This window comes from Homo sapiens, chromosome 12 (genome assembly GCF_000001405.40).
Source record: "Homo sapiens chromosome 12, GRCh38.p14 Primary Assembly".
Taxonomy (NCBI): domain Eukaryota; kingdom Metazoa; phylum Chordata; class Mammalia; order Primates; family Hominidae; genus Homo; species Homo sapiens.
In genome coordinates, this window is record NC_000012.12 from 95,230,255 (window position 1) to 95,247,891 (window position 17,637).

Sequence of the window (17,637 nt, forward strand, 5' to 3'; positions counted from 1 at the left end):
TTGAGGACATCATTTATTTTAAAATCTGCATTGTAATTTATGTAGTTGACAGAATATAGCCTCCTATCTCTTATTGTTGAGGTTTTTGCTGATTAAGCCACAACTTTTAATATTATCTCATTAAGATCTTTATTAAAATGGATTTTTTTTTCTTTTTTCTTTTTCTTTCTTTTTTTTTTTTGAGACAGTCTCACTCTGTCAACCCAGGCTGGAGTGCAAGTATTGCAATCATAGCTCACTGCAGCCTTGAACTCCTAGGCTCCAGCTATCCTCTCCTCTCACCTCATCCTGTGTGAGCCATTGTGTCCAGTTATCTCTCCTTTTTTTTTTTTTTTTATTTATTTTGGGATAAGAAGCAAAGGAAATAAAGTTGGATGTTATCTCTTAATATCCAAACATTATATTAAAGTTTACTGCATGCTCTCCTCACATCCAACATTTTGCCAATTGTGTTTGATCTTCTGGCCTTTGTCTTAAAGCAGTTGAAAATGAAGTTTTGCTTCCTCTCCTTGCTTCTGCTCTGCATTCATTTAAGTGACCGATGTGTGCCAGTTAATTAGCTAGATTTCAAATAATATTTAAAGTAGCATCAGAACCAAGGGGATATCAATCTACCATTGCTGACTTCTCTCCATTTAGTTAAGACAATCCACTGCTGTCCTTGCTTTTTAGTCAATAGAGTATAAAAGCTGTGTAAGTCAGTTTTCTCCCATTGCATCTCTTAGTCTTCTGATGGGTATGTTTGATTTTTATTTAGATTTTGGACGTAGGTAGTATTGCACTTGAGTATCTTTGTACTGTTGTATAAAAAATCTTAAGGTTACTCTTTTTAAAAATGTTTGCTATTTATTACATCTCATATCAGAATCATTGGATAGGATTTCAGCGGAAAATATTAGAAGCCTGCAGCCAGACAAACTTCTTAATATATGTGTCTTACTTTTTCTTGGTTTATTTAAAAACTTTTAAATAAACACTAATACTAAAAACATCCTTTGAAGGCGTTTTTAAAACTCCAGTATTCCTATTACCTTTGTCTGTAGTTGCTGAGTAATAACAGCACTGAAGAAATAATGTTCAGATTTTTTTTCAGAGGGCTGCTTCTGATAGGAAAATGCTTAGTAATGACAGAGGCACGCCCTCCAATTCAGTGGCCATTTTGTACTGTGGTTCTTCTGGAGAAACAAGTGGGAATCATCAAAGAAAGAAATGTATGGATAAAAAAGAATATGGACAAGAGGCAGTAAATTTTTCATTTAGGTCAACTGGAGAAATTAGAACCATGCTATCTGTGAGTAGTTTAATTAGTTGGACCAATTTTAATGGACCCTTTTAGCTTAATCTCTTTAAATTCTATGATTAGATTTTACTTTGCTGATTAATTAATTAATGCTTGAATTTGGGGCTTTGGTATATTAATTTAGATATTATGTTGAAATGTGTAAGCTCCGAAAAGCATTTCCTATTATTTTATATCTTTAATATCCTATGATATTATCTAAGGTTTAAGGGAGATAAAGGCACGAAGTAGTTAATTTCAGATTATATTTTGTGATTGCGTACTGAATTAAAGATAAGTGAAAAGGCTATATAGAAATTTACTACATTGGCAATACAATTATGGGGAAATTTATTTTCCATGATGGGGTTTTGTTAATTTTGACAGAGATTTAGCCTTTTAAGTAGATTCCTCATTAAAAATTGAGAAAAATCACTGCCTTTTATAATTTGTTAATAGTCTTACTCATCACTTTATTTTGTGATACTCTGCAGCTAGCCTGGAAAAACATGGAAATCATAGCAATTAACAACAGGAGTTTAATCCTTTTTAGTGGTATTTTCCAAAAACAATATATTGTTGTTCTATATGTGATAGTCACATTTAGACCTATAGCTTTAAGCTATATTCAAAGATAAAAGGTTTTTTTAAATGCTTTAAAATAACACATAATTTTCAGGCAGATATTTTCCCATCAAATCCCTTTAGTTGCAGATACCTTTTCCCTAGAGATTTTATTTTGAATTAAAGATCTTTTAGAGGTTCTGTTGGCATGGTAGAAACTTTAAAAAATATGTAATTTACATGGTAGTATGTAGAGAACACTTTTTTTCCAGAGAAATTACAAGTTGGTACAAACTTGAGGAAAAGTTACGTATAACTTGGTGAATTCTGTAACTTGGGAATGGAAATCAAAGGCTTTTTGATCCTTTGAACCAGAATAAGCACAGATTCATATAGGTGGGAAGTCTGTGTTAACAAAATTACTTCTCAAACATTACACAGTTTCGGGCTTTTGTGCCAATGCTTTGTGCCTCATACTCTCTTCTCTGTTAGTAGCTAGTGTGCCTGTGTTTTCTTGTTGCTTTTTGTGTTTAATATGGACTGCATGGCCCAAATGACATCTGACATCTGACAATAGTTAGCATTTTGCCAAACCTGATAGTGTGGTTTAGATATCATACTGACATTTTAAATAAAGGAATGTATAATAGTTGAAGTAGAGCATTAGTTTTTGGGTTGGTTTGGTTTGGGTTTTTTTGTTCGTTTGTTTTGTTTTTTGGGTTTTTTGAGACAGAGTCTCACTCTGTCGCCCAGGCTGGAGTGCAGTGACGCAATCTCGGCTCACTGCATCCTCTACTTCCCAAGCTCAAGCGGTCCTCCTGCCTCAGCCTCCTGAGTTGCTAAGAGCACAGGTGTGTACCACCATGTTTGACTAATTTTTGTATTTTTTGTGGAGACAGGGTTTTGCCATGTTGCTCAGACTGGTCTCAAATTCCTTGGCTCAAGTGATCTGCATGGCTTGACCTCCCAAAGTGCTGGGATTATAGGGGTGAGCCACTGCATCCACCCCATTGTTAGTTTTTATATGGGAAAGTGTATTGGCTCATTTTATTCATTTACTAAATTCTCATGTAATTAGGTACCTTCTTTTTTCTTTTTCTTTTTTTTTTCTTAGCAGACCTTAACTATGTTTTTCCACACAGATAACACATGAATATGTTCTCATTGTAAAACATTCACATAATACAGGGAAAGGATCAGCTCTCCCTTAATCCCCCTTTTCCTTTGCAGGTCCACCTTTCTCCACAGAAGTACCACTGTAATCACTTTCGTATATTTTCTTTTTTAAATTATTTTTTATTTTTATTTTTTATGTTTTTTGAGACAGAGTCTCACTCTCTTGCCGAGGCTGGAGTGCAGTGGCACAATCTTGGCTCACTGCAACCTCCGCCTCCCAGGTTCAAGTGATTCTCCCACCTCAGCCTCCCAAGTAGCTGGGACTACAGGTGTGTGCCACCACGCCTGGCTAATTTTTTTGTATTTTTAGTACACACAAGGTTTCACCATGTTGGCCAGGCTGGTCTCAAACTCCTGGCCTCAAGTGATCCCCCCACCTCGGCCTCCCAAAGTGCTGAGATTATAGGTGTGAGCCACTGTGCCTGGCCAATGTTGGTATATTTTCTTTCAGATTATTCTCAGCGCAATTACATTCATCTATATGTGTATGTGTATATATATATATGTGTGTGACATACATAAATATATTGTATAATTCCATTTTGTGGGTTTTTTAAAACACAAATGGGGTTTTTAAATGGCTAGTACTAGTCGATATTCTTGTATGTATATTTGGCATACTTTTATAATTGTATTCATAGACTGGAAGCTTAGTGGTAAAATTGCTAGGTCAACGGATATTTGCATTTATATTTTTATACCTATACTCCCACTAATAGTGTATGATGTATCTGTATTCCAACGTTGCCAAAACTGAGTATTCTCAGACTTCTTAATTATTGCCAACTAATAGGTAAAAATTGTGTCTTTGTTTCAATTTGCATTTCTTCAAAGGTGAAGTTTAACATGTTTTCATTCATATTGACCCATTTGTATTTTTTTCTTTGAACTGCTTCTTTATATCCTTTACCCATTTCTACAATTTAAAAAAATATTATTACTGGTTTATGTGGCCTTATTGTAAATTAAAAAACTGTTGCATCATGTTAGCCAAATTTTCTATCAATAATCTTTTTTTTTTTTTTTTTTTTGAGACAGAGTTTCGCTCTTGGCCCCCAGGCTAGAGTGCAATGGCGCGATCTGGGCTCACCGCAACCTCCCCGCCGGCCGGGTTCAAGCGATTCTCCTGCCTCAGCCTGCCGAGTAGCTGGGATTACAGGCATGCGCCACCACCCCCGGCTAATTTTTTTGTATTTTTTTAGTAGAGGCAGGGTTTCTCCATGGTGGTCAGGCTGGGTCTTGAACACCTAACCCCAGGTGATTTGCCCGCCTCAGCCTCCGAAAGTGCTGGGATTACAGACATGAGCCACCGCGCCAGGCTTCCATTTTCAGTGAGTTGTTTTTAAAACACATTAAGCTAGTTTTGAAAGTAGTTTTGTTTTTTTTGTTTTTTATTTATTTATTTATTTATTTTTTAATTGATCATTCTTGGGTGTGATTTGGCAGGGTCACAGGACAGTAGTGGAGGGAAGGTCAGCAGATAAACAAGTGAACAAAGGTCTCTGGTTTTCCTAGGCAGAGGACCCTGCGGCCTTCCGCAGTGTTTGTGTCCCTGGGTGCTTGAGATTAGGGAGTGGTAATGACTCTTAAGGAGCATGCTGCCTTCAAGCATCTGTTTAACAAAGCACATCTTGCACCGCCCTTAATCCATTCAACCCTGAGTGGACACAGCACATGTTTCAGAGAGCACAGGGTTGGGGGTAAGGTCACAGATCAACAGGATCCCAAGGCAGAAGAATTTTTCTTAGTACAGAACAAAATGAAAAGTCTCCCATGTCTACCTCTTTCTACACAGACACGGCAACCATCCGATTTCTCAATCTTTTCCCCACCTTTCCCCCCTTTCTATTCCACAAAACCGCCATTGTCATCATGGCCCGTTCTCAACGAGCTGTTGGGTACACCTCCCAGACGGGGTGGTGGCCGGGCAGAGGGGCTCCTCACTTCCCAGTAGGGGCGGCCGGGCAGAGGCGCCCCTCACCTCCCGGACAGGGCGGCTGGCCGGGCGGGGGCTGACCCCCACCCACCTCCCTCCCGGACGGGGCGGCTGGCCGGGCAGAGGGGCTCCTCACTTCCCAGTAGGGGCGGCCGGGCAGAGGCGCCCCTCACCTCCCGGACGGGGCGGCTGGCTGGGCGGGAGGCTGACCTCCCCACCTCCCTCCCGGACGGGGCGGCTGGCCGGGCAGAGGGGCTCCTCACTTCCCAGTAGGGGCGGCCGGGCAGAGGCGCCCCTCACCTCCCGGACGGGGCAGCTGGCCGGGCGGGGGGCTGACCCCCCGACCTCCCTCCCGGACGGGGCGGCTGGCCGGGCAGAGGGGCTCCTCACTTCCCAGTAGGGCCGGCCGGGCAGAGGCACCCCTCACCTCCCGGATGGGGCGGCTGGCCGGGCGGGGGGCTGACCCCCACCTCCCTCCCGGACGGGGCGGCTGGCCGGGCGGGGGGCTGACCCCCACCTCCCTCCCGGACGGGGTGGTTGCCGGCCGGAGACGCTCCTCACTTCCCAGACGGGGTGGCTGCCGGGCAGAGGGGCTCCTCACTTCTCAGACGGGGCGGCTGCCGGGCAGAGACGCTCCTCACATCCCAGACGGGGTGGCAGGGCAGAGGCGCTCCCCACATCTCAGACGATGGGCAGCCGGGCAGAGACGCTCCTCACTTCCTAGATGGGATGGCGGCCGGGAAGAGGCGCTCCTCACTTCCTAGATGGGATGGCAGCCGGGCAGAGACGCTCCTCACTTCCCAGACGGGGTGGCGGCTGGGCAGAGGCTGCAATCTCGGCACTTTGGGAGGCCAAGGCAGGCGGCTGGGAGGTGGAGGTTGTAGCGAGCCGAGATCACGCCACTGCACTCCAGCCTGGGCACCATTGAGCACTGAGTGAACGAGACTCCGTCTGCAATCACGGCACCTTGGGAGGCCGAGGCTGGCGGATCACTCGCGGTTAGGAGCTGGAGACCAGCCCGGCCAACACAGCGAAACCCCGTCTCCACCCAAAAAATACGAAAACCAGTCAGGCGTGGCGGCGCGCGCCTGTAATCGCAGGCACTGGGCAGGCTGAGGCAGGAGAATCAGGCAGGGAGGTTGCAGTGAGCCGAGATGGCAGCAGTACAGTCCAGCTTCGGCTCGGCATCAGAGGGAGACCGTGGAAAGAGAGGGAGAGGGAGACTGTGGGAAAGGGAGACTGTGGGAGAGGGGAGAGGGGAAAGTAGTTTTTAAGACTAGAGTACCATTGTTTCTGTAGTCCCCAAGAATCTTTGCAGCCAGTTTCTAACCTTGTGTAACGTGAGGCAAATGCTCTTACTGAATTCTTTTTTTTTTTTTTTCTGAGAGGGAGTCTCTGTTGCGCAGGCTGGAGTGCAGTGTCATGATTTTGGCTCACTGCACCCTCCACCTCCTGGGTTCAGGTGATTCTCCTGCTTCAGCCTCTCCAGTAGCTGGGATTACAATAAGCCCACATTACAGTCTCCTGCCACCACGCCCGGCTAATTTTTGTATTTTTAGTAGAGACGGGGTTTCACTACATTGGCCAAGCTGGTCTCAAACTCCTGACCTTGAGTGATCCATCCATGTTGGTCCCCCAAAGTGCTAGGATTACAGGCATCAGCCATGGTGCTTGGCTCTTACTGAATTCTTACATGTGAACTATAGCTCATCTGAAGCAAAAATAAGGCAATTGGGAATAAATGTAGATATTATCAGGAGAATAATGCTAGCCTATTTTGAGTTTTCTAACTTAATCTGCTAAATAGATTTAAAATTACAAGTTTAGTTTCTAGTTAAATAAAACAACTATACACAGTACTACATTAGACCAAATTAATGAACTTGTTTACTCAAAATTATTTGCAATATGATGGGGTAGGTAACAGCACTGAATCTGTCAGGTTTTTCCAACTCAGAAAAATCCCTCTTCTGTTGTTTACTACTATCTGTCCTTGTGACCTTGGGCAAGTTCCCTTGGTCTCTCTGTGCCTTAGTTTCCTCATATCTAAAATGAGCCATGCCTCATAAGGTTATTGCAAAGATGAGACAGGCTTGTACATAAAAAAAAAATACTTAGATTAATTCCTGGCCCTGTCTGGGTACTCAATAAATGTTTAGTACTGCTGTTGTTTGTGGGGAGATGGGTGGAAAAGAAATCAACCAACCAGATAGGAACTACACTGGATCATCCTCCTGTGAGAAAATTGTGCATCTGGGTAGTATCAAGCAGAATTATCAGCCTCCACTGATATCACCAAACCAGAGGTTAAACTTGCTGTAACCTCAGAAATGGGCAGTGGGAGAAGATCAAGGGCCATTACCAAACACTCACCACGTATAGCCCCCATAGCCTTGGGAAAACACAGCACTGGAATATTATTTTGTTTTGTTTTGTTTTTATTATCTTGTTCATGTTGGTGTCTGTTGTGGCTCTGTTTCCCTTGGAAACTAAATTTCTAAATTGGTAATCCATTGCCTCTTGATTATTTCTCTTCTCTGAGTTTATACCTTAAAATTTCTTGACTTCTTGCCATTTGCTACTTTATATTAGCCTTAGGCTAATAAGTATAGAGCTCTCCCTGAAGGATGAATAAAAGTCATGGAGCCTGTAGATCATAATAACACCAATTTTATATGAGCATTTTCTAAAATGTTCTCACGAGAAAAAAGTCTGTATTGGTATGTTCCCAGATTCTGTAGCTTCTATGAAACTTAAAGCCACCAATGGAAGGGGACAATTTAAGATGAAGTTAGCTTGAAGAGAGACAAAAATATGATTGAATTAAAAATTATGCCTTGCAGGGTTGAGCATTTTGAACCTTATAGAATATATCATATGATACATATGGTGAACTTGAGAGAGGTTGTTTCTTTTACATCTCAATTTTTCTCAAAGAGACAATTTTATATTATAGTTTAAAAGTATGGGCTTTGGAATCAGACTAACTGGGTTTATATTCTGATGGGTGACTTTAAGCAAGTTATAACCTCTTTATGACTCAGTTTCCTCATCTGTAAAATGAGGGTAATAATAAAAATACCTCTTTATAGAGTTGTTAGAATTAAATGAGGTATTATAAAACGTGCTTAACTCAATGCCTAGTAAATAAGCAACTCAGCAAATGTCAACTATTTTTAGTGTTACTACATTGTTTTTCAGGCTTGGCTCTACTGTTTTCTAAAATATATATAGTAACTCTGTTAGGGCCTTCCTGTCTTCTCTTGCCATTATCTCTAGTTGATCTTCCAGACTACATATGTTTCTATACTGGTATGTCATATGAGTTTGCCACCATATTTATATGCTAAAAACTTGAATGTATACATTCAGTAGGCTACTTTCCTGACCTCCAGACATTTTAGGTCTAAGCCATTCACATTTGACTATCTCATAGGCACTTCTAATACATCACCTTCCTCCTCAGATTTGTTGCTACGCCACTGTTTCATATTTCATTAAATAGCACCACCTGATTCTTCAAATCAGAAATCTTAATCTTGATCCCTCCATTGCCAACCATTTCAATCAGTAATCAAGTTATTTTGATTTTAATACTTAAACACATTTATTAAATGTTTTCATTTTTTATACTTCTTGTAGTCCCAGTTATCCAACAATAAGAGACTGGATAAATAAATCATGATAGATTCATAGAATTGAAATGCTATAAGGACACTAAAAAGGAATAAGGTACAATATATGTCCTAATATGGAAAGGTCTCTAAAATACATTCGATGAAGCAAGTGCAGAGAAAAGTATATAGTATATTTCCATTTGTATAGAAATTTTGAAGGCTATTCATACATATATAAGTGGATACTAAATTTTGGGGGAAGGATTCATGAGCTAAATATTTATTACCTTTTGGGTGAGAGACTAGGGGACTAGGGTAGGAAAAACAAAGTTATTTCTCATTTTATATCTTTTTGTATTTTTTAAATTTTTAGTATAAAAGTAGCAAGGCAGTAAAAAACAAAAAAACAAACTGAGGTTGAGCAGTTGAGCTTAGTGTCCTTTTACAGATGAAATAAGTTAACTTTTCTTGTATATCCCCAGAGAGAAGTTAATGGCAGAGAACTGCTAAAGTAACTAGTGCCTGACACAGAGTAGGTGCTCAATAAATATTTGGCTAGTGATAAAGGAGTAAATGATGATTGTCCCTTTTCTATCCAGATGATCTTTACCCTGGAATGCTGTTAGCACTCAGTCATTGCCATCTGCAAGAGAGAATAGATAGTGTGAGGGATCAGAATCAGAATTTGGCCACTAGTTAGTGCAGACTACAAATTGCTTTTCTGAAAGGGTATATGGCTCTGAGATCAGCTCTTCTGATAAAGGGAAGGAGAGAGTCTCAAGGGTGCATCAGGGCTAGTGTGAAGAGCTCGGAGGGTTCAGACAGACAGAATAAGTGACATAAGGCCCAGCACGGTAGCTCACACCTGTAATCCCAGCACTTTAGGAGGCCAAGGAGGGCAGATCACTTGAGGTCAGGAGTTTGAGACCAGCCTGGCCACCATGGTGAAACACCATCTCTACTAAAAATACAAAAATTAGCCAGGTGTGGTGGCACATGCCTTTAATCCCAGCTACTCGGGAAGCTGAGGCAGGAAAATCACTTGAACCTGAGAGGTGGAAGTTGCAGTGAGCTGAGATTGTGCCACTGCCCTCCAGCCTGAGCAACAGAGGGAGACTCGAAAGAGAGAGAGAGAGAGAGAGAGAGAGAGAGAGAGGAGAGAGAGAGAGGAGACAGAGAGAGAAAGAGAGAAAGAAAGGAAGGAAGGAAGGAAGGAAGGAAGGAAGGAAGGAAGGAAGGAAGGAAGGAAGAAAAGAAAGAGGAAAACAGAAACATTGCAACAATGACTACTGAGTTGGAAGATAGACAATCATTGACTGTTCTTAGCCCAGTAGATGTGCTGGATTGTGGACCTGTAGTATTGATATTAATAGTGTGTCAATATCCAAAAGAAACCATTCAGTAAAGTGCCATTTGTGGAAGAGGCTAGGTTTATTGAGATATCTAACTTTCCTAGTTAATATCTATGGCCCAGATAGTCAGATTTGCACTTCTTTTCTTATGTTGACACCCCAACATAATTTTTTAAATAAGGAAAATTTTTTATTGGAAGACTGAAGTTCAGTTAGATGAGCATGAAGTTTATGTAGAAATAATCTCCCAACAGCTTAGCTCAGCTATTCTTAAAGTTTTTAAAATTTAAGGCTCTACTGGAGTAAAACGATGTTATATAGAAAATTATTTTCTTCAGATATTTTTAATACTGTAATAACATTTCTTAGCCTATTTAAAGGTTCATATTGATTATCACAATACTTAGTGTAACCAAGTGCTATAATTATTTTGGTTTTATATTAGTAGCTGATTAAAATTTCAATGCATAAATTCTAATGCAGTTATTTCGAAGGTAACTCATTTCACTCTTAGAAAGCCTGTTTTTGCAACAGGCTGTTGAGCATTGCAAGTCATGGAAAAACAGCTAATTTTCCATTTTGGTCATTGCTTTTCAAATCAGTCATCGTCCCAAAATAAAAAGTAAATAATGAAAGCAGCTGCTAGGCTACATATTTTTTTGTGATTTTTTCAATCTTTGATTCCTTATACTCAAAAACAGGTTCTCAGCCTTAGAACTATTGATGCTTTGGGCCAGATAACTCTTTGTGAGGGTTGTCCTGTGCAATATAGGATGTTGAGCAGCATCCCGATCTCTACACACTAGATACCAGTAGCGCTGCTCACATCCACCCCACAGTTTTTTGGGGATTTTTTTGTTTTGTTTTTGTTTTTTAAGACGGAGTCTTGCTGTGTTGCCCAGGCTGGAGTGCAGTGGCGCTATCTCAGCTGCAGCCTCCGCCTCCCGGGTTCAAGTGATTCTCCTGCCTCAGGCCTCCCAAGTAGTTGGGACTACAGATGTGCACCACCACGCCCGGCTAATTTTTGTATTTTTTTTTAGTAGAGACAAGGTTTCACCATGTTGGCCAGGCTGGTTTCAAACTCCTGACCTCAAGTGACCCACCCATCTTGGCCTCCCAGAGTGCTGGGATTACAGGTGTGAGCCACCGTGCCTTGCCAACAGGTTTTGTTTGTTTGTTTTGAGACGAGTCTTGCATGGCTTACTGCAGCCTTGACTCCAGGCTCAAGCAATCCTTCACTTTCAGCCTCCCAAGTAGCTGGGACCAGAGGCGCACACCACCATTTCTGGCTAATTTTTTTATTTTTAGTAGAGACAAGGTCTTGCTTTATATTACCTAGGATAGTCTCAAACGCCTGGCCTCAAGCAATTCCTCCTGCCTTGGCCTCCCAAAGTACTGGGATTAAAGGAGTGAGCTACCCTGCCTAGCACACCCCTCAGTTTTAACAATGAAAAATGTCTCCAGAAATTGCCAAATGTGGGGAGGGGGAGTTGTGCAGTGATGATTTACTTTGAGAACCACTGCTTTATAAGAACATAGTAGTTTTTTTGTTTCTACTTTTTGTTTTTAACTGTCTTGTTTAATGGTGATTTTAAAACATGGCTCAGAAAAATCACATAATTGAGAATAGTTTATTCCATGAACTTTACATTAGTTTGTGGAAAGAAAATGTGAATAATTCAAATTGACAGGTAAGTAGACACTTATTTGTGCCTCCACTGAGACTAGCAACTTGAAATCATGTTGCTAGAGGATACCTTTGATATTTGTTGACCTTGGCGAAAATATTAAAAAGCGTAGACATTGTTGCAGGAAGTTTGCAAGTCCAAATACTTGCTCATCATTTTCTGAATTTTTTAAAAATAAACACAAAAAATAGCACATGTACAAGTTACACTAGTTGATACACATGTGATTAACTCATAAATTTATTTTAGATCTTATCTATATTAACATTTGCTTTTTGTCGTATTCTCTTTCAATAGACATTAAAACTACCACTACTATGGAAGTACCACTACTAGATGGAAGTTTGACCTGGACATGGTGGCTCACACTTGTAATCCCAGCACTTTGAGAGGCCAAGGTGGGAGGATCGCTTGAGGCCAGGAGTTCAAGATCAGCCTGGGCAGCATAGTGAGACCCCATCTCTAAAAAAAATAAAAATAAAAATAAAATCACCTGAGACTATTAGATAGAAGTTTGTAAGACTCTAATGGGTTTTTTCTGGTTTTTATTTTGTTTTGTTTTCTTTTCTTTTTTAGAGACAGGATTTTGCTATGTTGCCTAGGCTGGAGTGCAGTAGCTATTCACAAGTGTGATCATAGGCCCTACGGCCTCAAACTCCTGGGCTCAAGCAGGCATCCTCAGTAGCTGGGACTACGTGTGGAGTGTTTTAAAATCTAATAAAATGGGCCGGGCGTGGTGGCTCACGCCTGTAATCCCAGTACTTTGGGAGGCTGAGGCAGGCAGATCACCTGAGGTCAGGAGTTCGAGACCAGACTGGCCAACCTGGTAAAACCCTGTATTTGTAAAAATACAAAAGTCAGCTGGGCGTGGTGGCTGGCTCCTGTAATCCCAGCTACTTGGGAGGCTAAGGCAGGAGAATCACTTGAACCTGGGAGGCGGAGGTTGCAGTGAGCCGAGATGGTGCCATTGCACTCCAGCCTGGGTGACAAGAGCATAACTCCATCTCACCAAAAAAAAAAAAAAAAAAAATCAGTAAAATGATATTTTCCCCAGATTATAATAATAAGTTGAATTTTTTCAAGTTTACATTTTTGTTCCATAGTATTTTCTTAAGCCTTTTATACCAGACTTTAGGAAAACCTAGCATCTGATTTTTAAAAGACTTTTATTATAGACCTTAAAAATGTATTTTAAGGGAGAGAATACTACAATGAAAACTCCATGGCCAGGCCTGGTGGCTTATGCCTGTAATTCCTGCACTTTGGGAGGTTTGAGGTGGGCAGATCACTTGAGCTCAGGAGTTCCAGACCAGCCTGGGCAACCTGGTGAAACCCCATCACTACCAAAAATACAAAAAGTGAGCTGAGGGTGGTGGTGCATGCCTGTGGTCCCAGCTACTTGGGAGACAGAGATGGGAGGATCACTTGGAGGTTGCCGTGAGCAGAGATAGTGTCACTGCACTCCAACCTGGGTGACAGAGTGAGACACCATCTCAAAAAAAAAAAAAAAAAAAGCTCCATTTACCCATCACTCAGCTTCAGCTTCAGCTTCAGCAGCTGTTAACATTTTACCAAACTGTCTCATCTATTCCTCTCACCCTCCCCCATCTTTTTTCTTGGTGTATTTTAAAGCAAATACCATGTGACTCCCATTTGGCCTGTTATAAATAAATAAATAAAAATAAAGCAAATATCAGACATTACCTAATTTCACCTGTAAATGTATCAGTATGTATCTCTAACAGACAAGTACTTGCTGTGATTTAGGTGTGGTTTGTCCCTGCCAAAACTCATGTTGAAATTTAATTGCCATGCTACGATGTTGGGAGGTAGAACCTTTAAGAGGTAGGACCTAATGGGAGGCATTTAGGTCACGAGGCTCCACTTTCATGGATGGCTTGGTGCCATTCTCACAATAGTGAGTGAGTTCTTGCTCTCTCAAAACTGAATTAGTTCTCTTGGGAACTGATTAATTCCTGAAAGAGCAGGTTGTTATAAAGTAAGGACTTTCTTAGGGCTTGGCCCCTTTGCACATACCCACTCCCGCTTTGACCTTCTACCATATTATATCTAGGCAGCAGAGCCCTTGCTAGAAGCCAGTGGCATGCTCTTGAACTTCCCAGCCTGCAGAACTATGAGCTAAGTAAGCTTCTTTCTTTATAAAATATGCAGTGTCAAGTATTCTGTTATAGCAACACAAAACAGACTAAAAACTCTTTTTTTTTTTTCCTTTTTCAAGATAACTCTGGCCAGGCACAGTGCCTTACACCTATAATCCCAGTGCTTTGGGCCGAGGTGGGAGGATCACATGAGCCCAGGGGTTGGAGACCAGCCTGGGCAACATAGTGAGACCCTGTCTCTAAAATAAAAAACAATTAGCCGGACATAATGGCACATACCTGTAGTACCAGCTACACAGGAGGTTGAGGTGGGAGGATTCCTCGAGCCCAGGAGTTTGAGGCTGCAGTGAGCTATGCACACCACTGCATGGGTGACAGAACGAGACCCTGTTTCTAAATAAATAAATAATGATAACCCCAATATAATTATCTCATCTGACAAAATTAATAATAATTTCCTAATATCTAATACCTAGTCTGTGTTTGGGCTTCCTTAAATTCTCAAAAATGCCTTCTTACAGTTGTTCCAAGCAGAATCCAAAACAAGTCCCTACGTTGCATTTGGGTGATACGTCACTTTAGTCTTTCCCCACCCTCTTGCCTCTTTTTTTTTTTTTCTGAGACAAGATCTGGCCCTGTCATCCAGGCTGGTGTGCAATGGTGTGATCTCAGTTCACTGTAACCTCTGCCTCCCAGGTTTAAACCATCCTCCCTCCCACCTCAGTCTCCTGCCTCTCACCTTTTTAAAAGTCATTTATTTGTTGAAGAAATTTGGTAATTTTTTTTGGTGTGTTTTTTTTTTTTAAAGACAAATGCATTTCATTATTTATTTAGATATGTCCTTGAGTCATAGAAACTAAATAATTTGATCTACAGGATTTCCATACTCTGTATTTAGCTTATTTTGTAGCATAAGATGACATTTGGTTTAGCACAAAATTCTGTATTTTAAAATACCACTTTTGGCCAGGCAAGGTGGCTCATGCCTGTAATCCCAGCACTTTGGGAGTCTGAGATGGGCGGATCATTTGAGGTCAGGAGTTCAAGACCAGCCTGGCCAACATGGTGAAACCCCATATCTACTAAAAATACAAAAAATTAGCTGGGTGTAGTAGCGCATGCCTGTAATCCCAGCTACTTGGGAGGCTGAAGCAGGAGAATCACTTGAACCCGGGAGGTGGAGGTTGCAGTGAGCCAAGATCGTGCCACTGCACTCCAGCCTGGGTGAAAGGGGGACTCTGTCTCAAAAAATAAAAAATAAAAATACCACCTTTTATCTTGTTTCTCAGAGTGTCGTGAGTTTTGTTTTACTACCTGAACAAGTTTAAGAGTCCCATAGCATTCTTACTTTGTACTTAAGGAAGCTGAAACAGGGAGAGGATTTTTCTGGAAACAGAGCATACCTAGAAAGTACCAGAGCACTCAATATTTCCTTGATAATGTTGAAAGCTTGATGAACCGTGGTTTTATCAGAAGTATTACAAGATAAAACTCTTTTGGGAAAAACTGTTCCTGTTTTGTTTTATCCCCTGTGCCTACATGTTGCCTGACATGGAAGATGTTCAGTAAGTATTTATTATTGAATCAGTTGCCTAATTCTGCCATCTTTGGCCCATTCTTCTCTGGCCCAAGACCTGAAAGCTTACAACTTGTTCTATCTATAAGAGTTTAAAGCAGTTTAAAAGAGTGAAGCTAATAATAAAAGCACTGTAGCCAGGTAGAACTGCTCATGCTTATAATCCCAGTGACTCAGGAGGCTGAGGCAGGAGGATCCCTTGAGGCCAGGAGTTGGAGACCAGCCAGAGAAACATAGCAAGACCCCATCTCTACAATAAATTTAAAAATTATCTGAGTATGGTAGCTTGCACCTGTAGTCCCAGCCACTCAGAGGCTGAGGTGGGAAGATTGCTTGATCTCCAGAGGTTGAGGCTATAGTAAGCTATGATCGTGCCATTGCACTCCAGCCTGGGTGACAGAGAAAGACCCTGTCTCAAATAAAAGCTAACCAGCAATGATGTAGTAATGACACTGGCACTTGTACAGAATACATCATGAATCATGTAGAAAACAAGCACTGCCATAAGTGAATGGTTGGACTTTATACATCTGGGAGATCTGATATCTTTTCTTTTTTTTCTTTTTCTTTTTTTTTTTGAGACGGAGTCTCGCTCTGTTGCCCAGGCTGGAGTGCAGTGGCGGGATCTCAGCTCACTGCGACCTCCACCTCCTGGGTTCAAGGGATTCTCCTGCTTCAGTCTCCCGAGTAGCTGAGATTACAGACATGTGCCACCATGCCTGGCTAATTTCTGTGTTTTTAGTAGAGACGGGGTTTCACCATGTTGGCCAAACTGGTCTCGAACTCCTGACCTCAAGTGATCCACCCGCCTTGGCCTCCCAAAGTGCTGGGATTACAGGCGTGAGCCACCGCACCCACCCAGATCTGATATCTTTATGTGGGGCCTGCAGGGAGCAGGGCTGGCAAGAAGTGTCAGTAGTGTAGGACTTGGATGAGACATTTTCTTAAAGAGCTTTCTTCAGCAAAAATGTGGGATTTTCCTGTCTATTTTTGTTTATTTTTATTGCAAAAATGTTTCGGCCACCAGAACAATCTTAGCACAACCAAAGGTTCTTGGCTGTTTTTCATTTAGCAAAATTCTTTCTGGTGTTATGATATGTGTTTTCTGTCAGCTAAAACTTACAGGAATAGTGAACCACAAAGATTTCCTGAGGAGCTCCCACATGCTGTGTCTGAGGTTTCTCATATTTCTTTTGGCATCAGTAACATTCTCCAATACTTCGAAATTATAGTTTGAATCCAGTGTTAATGATTTCTCTTCAAAAAAACAACTTAAATAAAACATTTGCGGTTTTATTTTGCTTGAACCAAGGAAAAGTCATAATAGAGACAACTACCTACTCTGCCTTACCCTCTGCACAAAAACACCCCTTTCTAAAGCTACCATCTAATACTTTATGAAAAATAAATATTTCCCTGTATTTATTAGTGTATAAGCCTAATATCCCAAAACCTCTAAAATATAGTGGTCAGAACAGTTGCAATAGGGAGCCTCCCCTTGCTGTAAAAGAAAAAAAGTCAAAATAAATTATGTTGAGTGATCAGGTTTTAATACTAAGACATTATTTGCCTTTGTCACTGTCATTCTCATGTGTGTATACAGAGTACAAAAAGCTCATCAGATGGTTGCATATTCTACGTTAACATTTAGCTATTTGAAACTATTACTTGTTTCGGTACGGCTATTCTTCTTTGATACTACAATGATCAGAAAAGACTATTAAAATACTTCTGGCTTTCCAACTATATTATTTGTGTAAGCCTTTATTTTTCTGTATACTTCACCCAAAACAATACATTGCAACACATTGAATGCAGAAGCAGATATAAGTATCCGGCAATTTTCTATTAAGCCAAACAATAAAGAGATTTGCAAAAAGTGTAAAACAATCTGTTCTTCTCAATAAATTTTTTTCATTTTGGAGAATTTTTTCATTAACATATGTTGTTTAACATTGTAACAGGTTTATTGCTATTTTCAAGTAAAATAATAAGTTTTTTTTAAATTTTAGTTTTGAGTTCTAATATGATGTCATTAGACGTCCATGTAAACAAAAGCTCTTTGGGGCTCTCCATAATTTTTAAGATTATAAGGAGAGCTGAGACCAAATAATTTGAGAACTACTGGTTAGGATATGGTTTTCTGAGATCTATTAAATAATATACAAGTTATTTGACAGTTTCGGAGAAAAAGTGATAGCAATTTTATTCCTAAACATTTTAAAAGAATTAATGTAAGCATAATGAATAGAACTTGAGTGTTCACAGTGTTCATACAGTATCTGGGTTTACATGTGTTAGGAAGTAATATGATTTGCACTAACAGCCA

At 40.8% G+C, this 17,637-nt stretch overlaps 1 protein-coding gene across 66 annotated transcripts in view, besides 1 other annotated feature; it reads left to right on the forward strand.

The window, feature by feature from the left end:
* The window catches only part of VEZT (vezatin, adherens junctions transmembrane protein), an 84,993-nt gene that overhangs the window by 12,448 nt on the left and 54,908 nt on the right, over nt 1-17,637 (forward strand). For 4 of the 66 annotated variants that reach the window (XM_047429109.1, NM_001352095.2, NM_001352102.2 and 1 more), the window contains exon 2: nt 11,910-12,010. The exons of 57 other annotated variants lie outside the window; for them this stretch is intronic. The gene's annotated coding sequence lies outside the window, so the exon portion shown is untranslated. Of the gene's footprint in view, nt 1-11,909; nt 12,011-13,686; nt 13,756-17,637 lie in introns of all 66 variants that reach the window. 5 more of the 66 variants (XM_047429110.1, NM_001352118.2, XM_047429107.1 and 2 more) reach the window with 2 other exon arrangements.
* Nucleotides 5,809-6,506: an enhancer, noted in NCBI's record as "H3K27ac-H3K4me1 hESC enhancer chr12:95629839-95630536 (GRCh37/hg19 assembly coordinates)". NCBI's record gives its function as "activates a minimal SCP1, AML or CMV promoter by ChIP-STARR-seq in naive H9 embryonic stem cells {active_cell/tissue: H9 hESC(naive)}" and the evidence as "EXISTENCE:reporter gene assay evidence [ECO:0000049][PMID:30033119]".